Source organism: Homo sapiens, chromosome 10, assembly GCF_000001405.40.
Source record: "Homo sapiens chromosome 10, GRCh38.p14 Primary Assembly".
Classification (NCBI taxonomy): domain Eukaryota; kingdom Metazoa; phylum Chordata; class Mammalia; order Primates; family Hominidae; genus Homo; species Homo sapiens.
Window position 1 is genome coordinate 88,146,754 of NC_000010.11, and position 12,836 is coordinate 88,159,589.

General features: G+C 40.5%; 1 long non-coding RNA gene across 1 annotated transcript in view, besides 1 other annotated feature; it reads left to right on the forward strand.

Annotated features, from left to right (window-relative positions):
* LOC101929727 (uncharacterized) overlaps nucleotides 1-12,836 on the forward strand; it is a 248,010-nt gene that overhangs the window by 14,642 nt on the left and 220,532 nt on the right. The gene's annotated exons all lie outside the window — the stretch shown is intronic.
* Nucleotides 5,891-6,030: an enhancer, noted in NCBI's record as "active region_3720". NCBI's record gives its function as "activates an Ori minimal core promoter by ATAC-STARR-seq in GM12878 lymphoblastoid cells {active_cell/tissue: GM12878}" and the evidence as "EXISTENCE:reporter gene assay evidence [ECO:0000049][PMID:35858748]".

The window sequence follows — 12,836 nt, forward strand, 5'->3', positions numbered from 1 at the left end:
GTAGCTGGGACTACAGGCACGTGCCACCGTGCCTGGCTAATTTTTGTATTTTTAGTAGAGATGGGGTTTCATCATGTTGGCTAGGAGGGCCTCGATCTCTTGACCTTGTGATCCACCCGCCTCGGCCTCCCAAAGTGCTGGGATTACAGGCATGAGGCACTACACCTGGCTGGAAGAAGCTAATTTTTGTCTGGTGTCCAGTGGTCAGAGAAATAGACAATTGGCAAATGAGAAGACAATGTCCAAAAAGGAAATTTTTTTCCAAGTCAAGAAATAAGCTAAAGCCTAGAATTCATCTTTGAGATTCCTCAGTGCCTAATATAGTGCTGGATGTATAAGTGGCTATCAGTAAATATGTTTAGACCAACAATTCAAATTCCCTGTGTGGACATACTTGATGGATCACCCTGTGGCTATGGTAGGAGATGTTGGATGAGGCAGCAGCAGCACAGAGGAAGGAGGAATAAAACCAGCCTTGGTTTCAAATGTCATCTCCGCCTCTTATTACGTGACCTTGGAAAAATTACTTAAATCTTCTTTGTCTCAATTGTGTCACTGTAAAAGAGGAATTAGAATACCTCACAACTTTATTATTTATAAAAATTAGAAATAGTGTAAGCAAAGTGCTTGGCGCATACACAACTCTCATTGAGTGGTGGCTGCTACTATTATTGGAAATAAAAGAACAAGAATATTAACTTAAGAAGATTTTACTAGGGAAAAGCTTCTTTAAGCAAACTCTCTTCCAAATCCGTGAAGCAGGGTCTGGCTTTGCCCCAAGTTTTTGAAACACGTAGCCTTGGTGTGAACTCTGTACCCAGTCCTTTTCTGTAATCCCTGTAGACCCCAAGTTCTGCTGACCCCAAAGTGCCTTAGTCATAGGGGAATTAATAGGACATTTGGCCAAAACCTCCAAATGGAGATCTTCCAAGGACAGAACATTCTGGAACCCATAGTGTTTTATATATTCTTCTCACAGTGGCTGGGGTCAAAACAAAGCCAGAAGGAAAACTGTGTTAGGAGACCCAGATCCAGACCCAAAGAAAGAAAGTTAAGAAGTTTTCGAATTTGCTTGTTGTAAATGATATATCTTGGCACCTAATTTAGCTTTCTCTTGGCAAACTGGCTGGTTTATTAGTAGTGAAGTTAATTTGAAAAATGAAATAACTTCCAACAAGTTAAAAAGTAATGCTTTAAAAATTTCACTGTATTAATTTTAACATTGGCTTTTCATGTTATTACGTTAATTTTATATGTGATGGTTCAAGTGAAAGGAGTTGTTCTATTTTAAATATGACATTCTATTTGTGAATACAATTCTGGAAATATTGGGAGAAACGTAATTGGTAAAAGTATTTTCTATTAAATTCTCTGGGGGTGGTGGTGGAATGTTTTCTTAAATTATTTTGGTTAGAGGGCAAACACTGTCTTTTAATGATCTTTGAATCAGCAGAACTTATTTAGCATAGAGACTGACATACAAAAGTTAATAAATAGATGCAAGAAAAACTAAAACACAGCATGAAGTGGTGGGGAGAACACTCCACACAAACCCAGAAGTCTTTCCCTTTGGCCTCAGCTCTATCACTAATATGCTGTGTGATGGAGACAATCACTTAACCTTTCTGCAGCAGACTCTTTCTTTATGCTGCAAGGCAGAGGAGTGAAATAATAGTGGTCTTAAAGAGTTGCTCTGCTTGCCTCATGTATTAGTCCATTTTCATGCTGCTGATAAAGACATACCCGAGACTGGGCAATTTACAAATGAAAGAGGTTTAATGGTCTCACGGTTCCACGTGGCTGGGGAGACCTCACAATCATGGCAAAAGGTGAAAGGCACGTCTCACATGGCAACAGACAAGAGAAGAGAGCTTGTGCAGGGAAACTCCCCTTTATAAAACCATCAGATCTCGTGAGACTTATTCACTGTCAGGAGAATAGCACAGGGAAGATTTGCTGCCATGATTCAATTACTTCCTACCAGGTCCCTCCCACAACACATGGGAATTGTGGGAGCTACAATTCAAGATGACATTTGGGTGGGGACACAGCCAAACCATATCACCTCACAAGAACAGCATAGGGTGCAAATGAGACAATGAATGTGCTTTGTACACCAGAATATATGACATAAATCATGACAAAAAATATAGAACTCTTTGCAGTTTTTTAATTTCTTAATCAAGATGCCTTCGGAGAAGTCAATCAAGTTGGGAACAGCTAATATTCTCACCTAGGCCATGCTGTATCATGACATAAATAATTGTAATAACATTGATAATGACTTATTTATTGAGCAATTATTATTATAAGCCAGATCCTGTGGTAGACAGATTACATTCTTTTCATCTTTAAAACAACCCTGTAAGTCAGGCATTGTTATTATTATCTTTATTTTAGAGATGGGAAAACAGAAGCTCAAGTCATATCCATCACTTTGTCTGTCTGACTCCAAAAGTCATCCTCTTGCCACTATGCCATATTGCCCCTCATAAAAAGTTTTAACAGGCTCTGAGCACCACTGTGATACAGGTTTCTTTACCTAGCAGATTTCATTGAATCCTCACCACAACAAATGAGGTAGAGTATTATTATTGTCCCCATTCTACAGTTGACAAAACTGAGGCACAGAGGGCCTAGGCAATGGGCTCTGTCTGATCCCAAGTGTGGCTGTTTTTCCTACACAATGTTAGAGTTTACAATACTTCTTTTTGTGATAGTGTAGAAACAGTGGGGCAAGAACTTAGGCATAATGTGTCCTATATTCCTCCCTAGCAGGTGACATTTTTATTTGTAGAAAGAAGTTAAGGAATAGCAATATTGAGTTCCAGTGGGAGCCTTTCTGCAAGGCAGAGGAGGGCCTAAAGCTAATCTCAGTGGACTTTGTGAAGGATACTAGCCCTCCGACTTTTGATTTGTCTTTCTGTTTTAGAGAAATGAATGAGTTATGAATCTTACTCCCCAAGTAGCTGCACAGAGTTCAAACCTAGACTTTTGTGCAGCAGGAAGGCAAGCACCGGACCTATGTCCAACCAATCACAAGCTCCCAGGGAGCCATCCCTTTGGAAGAGAGGGAGCGTGGGAACAAACAGGCCTGATGTCTGTCTTTTATTTTTACTATAATGGAGTCTGGTGTTCTGTGGAAGCAGCAGCAGAAGTGGCATAGAGCTGATGGAAGGAGGGGTGGCAGGCCCTGCTATAGAGATTTAAGGCAGACCTTGCCATTGACTGCTTGGCAGTGGTGAGGATTTTCTTATCCTGGTCTTGGACACTGCTACTGGAAGCCTAACGTTGATCTATGAATCACCTAAAATCTGTGAGCTATCTATACCTCTTGATTAAAATAGCCAGAGGTTTCTGTTTCTTGCAAATAAAACCCATGCCTGATTCAGTAGTCATGCAGTTCAGTCAATAGGAAGTCTCATCCACCTCCAGAGACTCTGGCCTCCAAGTGTGCACTGATCAGGGCATTGGATCAGTCTTCTCCACTGTCCTGGGCACCATAATAAGAAAATCCAAGTTCTCTATTCCCCAGAGTGCTCCTGGCATCCCTGGTGTACTGGCTTCTGAGAGCCAATAGTTAAATTTTTAGGAATTTTATGAGTCCATTGATATTTCTGGTACAGCAGTTCCCTCATCTCCATGATTTCACTTTCCTTGGTTTCAGTTACCTGGGGTTCAAAAATACAAAATGAAAAATTCTAGAAATAAACAATTCATAAGTTTAAAATTGCCTGCTGTTCCACGTAGCATGATGAAATCTGTGCCAGCCTTCTCCACCCAGACTTTGATGTGAGTCATCCCTTTGTCCAGTGTATCTGCATTGTAGATGCTCCTTGTCCATTAGTCACTTAGTGGCCTTTGCGGTTATCAAATCAAAAAGACACAGTAGAATCATGGGCCACATAACGAAGTTTCAGTCAACAATGGAACACATATAGGACAGTGGTCCCATAAGGTTATAATACTGTATTTTTACTGTATCTTTTCTATGTTTAGATACACAAACACTGTATCTTTTCTATGTTTAGATACACAAACACTTACCATTGTGTTACAGTTGCCTGCAGTATTCAGTACAGTAAAATACTATACAGATTTGTAGCCTAGGAACAATATTCTGTACCATAGAGCCCAGGTGTGTAGTAGGCTCTGCCATCTAGGTTTGTGTAAGTACACTCTATGATGTTTGCACAATGACAAAATCACCAAAAATTTATTTCTCGGAACTTATCCCTGTCCAGAAGCAACATATGACCGTATACATAGGGTTTGGTACTATCTGCAGATTCAGACATCCACTAGAGGTCTTGGATTGTATCCCCTTTGGATAAGGGGGGACTAATGAAGCTTAAAATCAGCTATGGTTGGAGTATTCACATCCTAGAAATGGGCAAATTCTACACATCAGGCCTCCCACACCTCCCAGTCCATTGTTAATTTACCAGCACATTACTGTCCTGATATCTTATAATTTTGAGCTTTTTGCTACAGACTTTTAATGAAATGTTCTGCTAAGCCTCATTCAATATTGATAACATTTGCTAAGATTTTTACTATGAATTAATCTCAAATAAAAAAATATAATTTGTAAGAACCTTGCTAGTGTTATTTGCTAATCCCTTCAACTGTTGAGACCCCTTCAACTGTTCTCCTATCTGATCCAGAAGAAATGTCACTTTCTCTGGGCCTTAACTGACCCCTCCATCCAGAATCAATTACTCCATCTTCTGAGCCATCCCCAGTACTAGGTGCATCAATGCACTTGCCTCATTATTGTTCTTAGAAAAACATTTACAGAATGCTTATACACATTAGGCTCTATTCTAGTGCTTTAGATATAGTAAGCAATTACTGAAACCTCATAACCATCCAATGAGGTAGGTACATTTGTATGTTGCTGAATTGGGCCATAGTTCCTCAGTTTCTATTTAGAAAATAAGGTCTCAGTTTCAGCTGATTTTAGTGCTAAAGTTTTAGAGCTGGGGCTGTGATTTAGGGAGGAGTGGGGACAACAAAGAACAGAGAGGGAAAGCCATTTGATAACAAAGAGATCCTCACTTCAAGGATAACCAGTTCCTCTCTACTACAGGAGATATCTTCTGGAACATTAAGGTGTGAAGAGGGGAGACTAAGATAAGACTTAAAAAGAGTAGGCTGCACTCATTAGGAATACTGTATTTGCTGGGCTGTATCAGCAGCAGAGGCTTCTGAAGAAATGGGCTCTCTCAGTTCGGGCCTTTGAACCCTACTCATCATCCATAATCCTACTCAAATGTCACTGTCTCTGGGAAGCCTTCTCTTTCTCCCTAGGCCTCACCTACTTAGCAGATTATCAAGGGCATTGTAGAATCCATCAAAGCATCTGAGGCTATTGTTGATACAGCCAGAACTCAGTCATCACTTGCTGAACACTTGAGTTTAGGCCAAGAATGAGAGAGATCTTGGAGAATCTTCCTGGGGTGGTTCTTCAAAGAAACTGCAATCTTTGCCTGCATAATCACCTCACTTCTCCACCTGGTTATGGCCATGGGAACATGACCACCATGTGCTACTAGAAAAACTTGCATCCATCTCCTATCACATCTTTTTTTCCGCAGAAGATTACTGAGATTGTGAAGTATGAAATCATGCTTCACCCACCACCACTCCAGTGATGGATGTGCCAGCGTATGTGTGTGTGTGTGTGTGTGTGTACTGCTGAACTGTCCTAGTGAAGTCCCATCTCACCAGACACCTCTCTGTGTATCATGTGACAGTTTCTTCGTTTAGAATACGGGGCCAGAGCAATGTTTGCCATCCAGGAAGCTGTGGAGAAGAGCCACAACGTGCCAAACCCAAGTGAGCATGCTAAGGAACAAGCAGTGATAACGTTATCCCAGGAGCAAAGTTCTGGTCAATTTAGTCTATAATTAGGTCAAGTTCTCTCCCACTTCCACCTCTGGTGTGTCTCTAGGAAATAATTTGCCTACCATGGTTATGTTGGGGCAGTCTCTGTTCTTCTGGACAGCCTTGGGGTGTAGCCTATGAAATAGGCCAGGATGAGCAGTCTGTATGAGCTCTTGGCTCATTGTTTAGGCTCAGTAATAGCAACCACATGGCACTGCAGAGGCCTTGCCATGCCTGGAGGGCTTGGGCCCTGCTCTTATCCAACAAGATCTGACTACAGCCAGACTGAAAGTGACATGGCCTGCTTAGTAACCTTCAATATCCTCTTACGGGATTCTCTGACTCAGAACTCACAGACAGGATGTGATCTCAGCTCCTCACATACCTTCCAGGCACATGGGCATGGTTGCATGTTTCCTCCAGTTTTAATTGGGGTGAGAAAAAATACTAAACATGTGTGTGTAGGAGACCAAGAGGAATTTCTTAGGGAGGATCTTGAAGATCCTTGGGGAGCTCCAGAGGACAGAGCTTTTGCTTCCTGACTTTTTGCTCTATTGTCTAGATCCCAGTAATTTATCCAGAGGTAACTATGGGCTTCTGGCTGGTCTCCCTGCCTTGAGTCTCTTAACCCCTCATTATCTGCCCAGAAATGTTAGAGACACCACCCTCAAGCACTGTTTCTTTCTGTCAAACCAAGTCTTCCCTCCCACATCCATTCTGGTCAGCAAAGTTATCTATTAACTTACCTGTATTCCATCTTCCCTACCTCTTACCATTCCTTCCTTTTGCTTCTCTATGGCCCGTTGGTCAGTCCCCTTGTAGTTCACCTCCTATAGCTCACCAGTTCTTCCAACTCAAAGTGGAATTTAATCCTTACTGGGAAGGCTTGCTTGTTCCACAGAGACCTTCCTAAAAATACTACCATCAGCACCAGCATCACTACCATCATCGATTTAGCACATCCTTCATGCCGGGCATTGTGTGAAGGACCTTACATGAATTATTCCATTTAATCCTCGTAGTAATCTTATAAAATAGTTACTATTATTATTTCCACTTTATGAAGGAGAAAACAGAGGATCAAAGAGATTAAGCCAGTGGTCAAAGACCTCAAGCGTATTAATTTCTAGCTCAAAGGTTTGAGTTTAGAATTGTGTGACATCAAAATGGACTCTTAACTGTGATGATATAAAGTTTCCCTATCCAAACCCATGTGCTTATTTTCTTTCCTTGAATTCCTTCAGTGTATATGTTTAGGATGCCATCTTTGGGCATTTGAATTGTTGGAGACTGGGAGGAATTTTTTAAGATTAGATGGTCTAACACTTTTTTTTAGTAGTTGATAAAACTAGCCTAGGCAACATACCAAGACCCTGTCTCTACAAAAAATAGAAAAATTAGCCAGGCATGGTGACACACACCTGTCCTTCCAGCTACTTGGGAGGCTGAGGCAGGAAGATTGCTTGAGCCTGGGAGGTTGAGACTGCAGTGAGCCATAATCGCGACATTGCACTCCAGCATGGGCAACAGAGCGAGATGCTGTCTCAAACAAACAAAAACAAACAACAAAAAAGACAAAGAAGAAACTGAAAATTAGAAGGACAAAGAGACGTATCTAGGATCCTGAAGTGGATTAATGGATTCTTGACTCAGGCACAATGCAGTGCTTGTTGTAGTATAGGATATATCATCCCTTTTGGGACTTGAAAATTTACTCTTCACATATTTTTAAATTCTATATCTTGCCCTCTCAATTACAGTATTAGTTATTTAAGGATAGAGAGTATGTTTTCTACTTAAAAATGTTTCCAATATTATGTAAAAAGTAGAAACTAAGTGTTAAAGGCAAGCAAGCAAGCTAGTTGGCAGAGAGGGAGTGCAAATGTTTACATGGTGGAGATGCTGGTAGTCCCTGGCACATAGTAATCTTTCAGTAAGTACTTTTCAAGTGAACGAATGGATGAATGAAATGGTGTTAGGAAGACTAGAGTTGAATTTGAACTGGGGGGCGGGTATTTCCAAGAATACAGATGAAGTTTTGCAACAAAGGAAGTAGATCCAGCTTTGGATGCTGCTGACAAACTAGTCTTTAAAGAAAATTACAGCACGTGTGTATAAAGAGGTGAGTCACTGGAGAAGAGTTATTGAACCTGACAGACATTGTGAAGAGAACAGCAATGGTCTCTGACTGTTCAGCAAGAACGCTGAACATCTGCTCAGCATCATCAAGACCGTCTTCTGCCTACTAACTGGTGGGATGTGCCTCTGTGCCAAACGATGGCCTCTCATGTTGGGCATCATTCATCTAAGGGCTCTGAAAGCTGTGATTATTGCAGTGGGTGAAGAGACAGGTGTTTCAGGCATGCTAGTGTAAAATATTATCTAGATCAGTGCTTTTCAAGCTTTAATGAGCATATGAATCATTTGGGCATCTTGTTAAAAGGCTGCTTCTACTGTAATAGGTCTTGGGTGGAGCCTAAGATTTTCTATTTCTCACACACTACAAGGTGTGATGAGAATGATGCTGATGCTGCTGTTCTGAGCAACCATACTTTGAGTAATAAGGTTCTAGCTGATCTATGGAAAAGTACTAGGGAATGTGACAATTAGAAGTAGTTCTATGTTGTCCTTTCAGCTTTGTCCTCTGATCAGGAATCTCCACTCTGTGGGCCAACTCTCCAACAACAGGCTGGCAATCCAATTGGTTGGTTATGCTGCTTCTATAGGGACTGATTGGATTTGGGGGTCATGAAGTTATTAAGGGAAAAAAATCAAGGAAGCATTAAAACTCATACTTCCTAGAGTGTTACACCTAAAGATCTGCACAAGGACTCATTTGCTTATGAATCACTTAGAAATTCATGTTTACTCCTAGGGCCCAGCACAGAGTAGGCCATCCAAAAATGCCAAATGAATGAAGAAAGGATAAAGAAGGAGGCTTCAATCAAAGCAGCTAGAGTCATACCACATCTCACTATTAATTTCACTTACAAGATGAAGAACTAAGCCAAAAAATCACCTATGTAAACAAAAATAGATGTCTCAAAGGCCATACATTAACTCTTAGGCATATTACTTCTGGAGAAGTTCTAAGTCAACTCAGAGCCTATTTGGGCTTTTATATTTTTAAATAAAAGAGTGAAATAGTTTATTATCATATAAACAGAGTGATGTGATTTCTCACCTTTTGTAAGATTTTATAGTTTGCAATGCACTTTAAAATAGCTTTATTGAGATATAATTCATATATCATAAAATTCACCCTTTTAAAGTGTTATTTGTACCTATTTTACAACCTATTTTATAAAGCTTGGCTGTCTATAGTAGAAGGGAAGAGGCAAGTTAGAGGGGTTTGGAGAGAACAAGAGATAGATATAGGCAGGCAAGGGCAAAAGAATAAAAGACAAGACAAAAAATATTAAATGAAGCACAGAGAAGTACTAAGAAAGCTCAGGCAGTAATCTGGAAATATTTAGTTTAGTGGAAACCTCTTTCCAACATGCTTCAAAATATCCCAAGAAGATGAGTGTATACAACCCAGTATAATAATGGATGTTCATGATGGTGCCCTTCTAGCTAATTCTAGTTGTTACATTCCCTAGTACTTTTCCATAGATCATCTAGAACCTTGTTACTCAAAATATGGTTGCTCAGAACAGCAGCATCAGCATCATTCATGATGGTCAGTTGTCAAGGAAAGGATAAGTTATACTCCACCTACTCGGCTTAAAAAGCCAAGGAAGTCTGTGACCCATTAAGACATTTTCATTACAAAGGTAATGGTGATATTTTGTCAAGTGTTGGGTGCTTTAAAAAGTAAGTCCTCAACTCTCTCCACAATGAGTCAGTTCATGGGGATTCCAGAAAGTTGATGTTTTATGGTATGGGCTGAGATATGTGACCAGAGGTCAGCCACATGCACACAGCTCTGCTGACTCAAGGGTGGAGGTCCTCACCAAGCACTGCCATGTGCATGAGTGAGGGCATCTGGGCTTTCAAGGCACATCTTTCTCCCAGGGACAACACCCTTCCTTCTTTTTTTGGACCCTGCTGTCTCCTGAGATCCTCCTGAGCATAATTTAACCCTTGCTGGGTGAGAATCAGAATGGTCCAGCAAGCGCTGGATTTTCTGTCAGAGTTTCCTTCGGTTTAAAAATCTGAAACTTGTTTGTCCCTCTGACTCTTCCCAGCTGCAACGAGGTACAAACACAAGGAGATGCAACTCAGAATGCCACTGTGCAGAGCTCTCTTAGTTTTGATTACACAACACATTTTCTAGTTTCTCTGAGGGTCTATGCCCTGGCCATATTAGGCAAGTCACTTTCTGAGCTTTAGTTTTCTAAGTTTCCTCATCTGTGACATGGAGTTGCAGCATCTGCTCTGGGCACCTCACAGGGTTAGTGTGAGGTCTATTAAAATTTTTAAAAGATAAATAAAATGTAGAGAGTGCTTACTATTTCTTCAGGCACCATGTGAAAGGCTTTGCATCTATTTCATTATAATACTTGGAAGTCAGTATTTTTATTATCCTCATTTCACAGATGAGAAAACTTCAGCTCATAGAGGTGACTGGTCCAGGATCACCATGGCTAAGAATTGGTAAAGACTGAGTTTAAATACAAGCCCTTCCATTTTAGAAATTAAATGAGATAATGCTTATAAAAGTGCATTGTAAAGGTCTATATCTATAAAGGCCTATAGAAATATATGAGATTAATACTGTTTCTAGAATTATTTTACAGAACTAAATTAGAGTCCACCTTCTACCTTCATCTTCCTAGCTTAGCCTTCCTGGTCAGCCCCCTTTCCAGGCCACAGTGAACTTCATGACCTCCGAGTCTCTTGTGCTGCTTTTCCTGACAATGCTGGGCCATAGGCATCTCTGGCTACAGGATCTTAGAGATCATGTTGGACTTGAATCTTTGACATTACTGATATTGATATATCACTGGTCTTGGCCTGACCCCACACTGGGGAGAAATGCTTCTTCCTAAAACTTTGGTAAGGAAGCATCCCAAATGTTTGCTTTTTCATTTCCTATCACGGGAAAATGCAGCCTCATTGTTTCTAGGATCAAAATAACTGGATTATACCTCCCAAAGATTCCCAAAGGCTGCTATTTCTTTTTTGAGTAAGAACTTCCACTCGCAATGACCATCTCAGATTGAAAACTGCTGCCCAGCATGGAACATGCTGCCCTGGGCCTAATCTCTGACACTCCAGTGGTAGGAAGTACCATGCTGATGGGGTATTCTCAGGAATACTTGAAAAGTTCCAGGATTTGTGAATATTTATTTCATTTCTAGACTGGCCCTTTAATGCAAAATGTCCATTTCCTTTGGTGTACTTGTTCTACACAAGAAAAAAAAATCCTCAGCCTCAGGTTTCTTCCTGGCTACTTCCTGTTTCTTTCCAATGGTCAAATCTAGTCATCCTTGCTCTGGTGTATGACTCAGTCTAAGAGTATCTCTGTGTTATCCAAGTTTATCCAGCTTATAAACATAAATTACTTCTTTTTCAATTACATTTTACAGACAGTATCCCAAACTTTTAGTATGGTTTTCTATTTAGGCTCAGAGCCAAAGTGTTTGCAGTCAATCTTTGTGCTTTTGATTCTTTTTTTAGTCGTTTTTGACTTCTATCCATTAAAACCTCTTATTATACCATTTTTTTACCAGCCATCATCCTCATAAGTCTCTGACACAAAAGAATCTTTCTGCCTGCCACAGCCAATTCCTGTTGCAACACCGTCTTGAAAGGACTCCATCAGCTCTACACCCTCACCATTTCCCTTCAAATCCCACCTGCTCCAAGTGTTTTCTTCTTGCTTAGACTTGATACATTTGCTTCTCAGATAAAGGATGGTGGTGAGCACACAGCTGGAACCAAGGAAGAAAACAGGGCCTTCGGGATGATAGCATTACTTTTCTCTAATCAATAATTCATTTTTAACTAGAATGTTTGTAGAAATTGAGACTTGGCCTTAAGTAGTTTTTCACAAGCAAAAGAAAATGAGAGAAGTCTAAAACAAAATACAGTTTGGGACATGGACCAAACAAAATGAAAACATCTTGCAGAGCGATAAAGACTGTGTAAACTTATTTATGATTCAATAGAATTGCTTTTGCAAAAAGCAAGGGCATGGCTCATGTTTTGTTTTGAAATGTATCTGTATTACATAAACACAGTAATTATGGCCTTTGACTTGTCCTTGTATGAATGGAAGTACCCTAAAATCTTACATAATTTGAATCCTGCAGTTTATGGAAGGCAAAGGCAATAAGGCACTTTATCACAGCAAATAAAATGCCTCACAAAGGAGACTATTGCCTATTCACATGTGGACAGGTCTCATCTTCCTATGGAGAAATTTACCAGGATCAGGAATTTCAGGAATGACTAACTGGCTTCTAACGTCCTGAGTGTCCATAAATGAGAATAATGCACTCTCCCCCACCCCTCAAATTCATCTTTTCTTCCCTGCCAGCCTACTTCCTGCTTTTTCTGCTCTCTTTCCCATGTCCTTACTTTATTCTTTTCATGCTCACAGGGGCTCATGTTTACTTGCTAAGCTTCGGCCTTTTCCACATTCCTCCTTTGATAGGCGAACATCCCAGCAGCTCCCCTGGGTCATTCCCAGGTGAGTCCACCAGACTTCCACAGCTTCACCCCGTGCCCTGTGTCATCATGACTAAAGCTGATCTGATCTCAGAAGTCTGAGAGCCCCAAGGTCTGAGGAACTTGCTTTAAGTTCCTCCTGCTCAAACCCATCTCAGCTGGATTCCCAGACCTCCCCTGGCCATCTTGGCTGTGGAGGTTTATTCCCTTTATGTATCCCTAACACACACACACACACACACAGTCACTCACTATATTATTACATATTATATCATTATATATAGTAATATTATTACTATTATTTATATTACTACTACCATTATTAATAT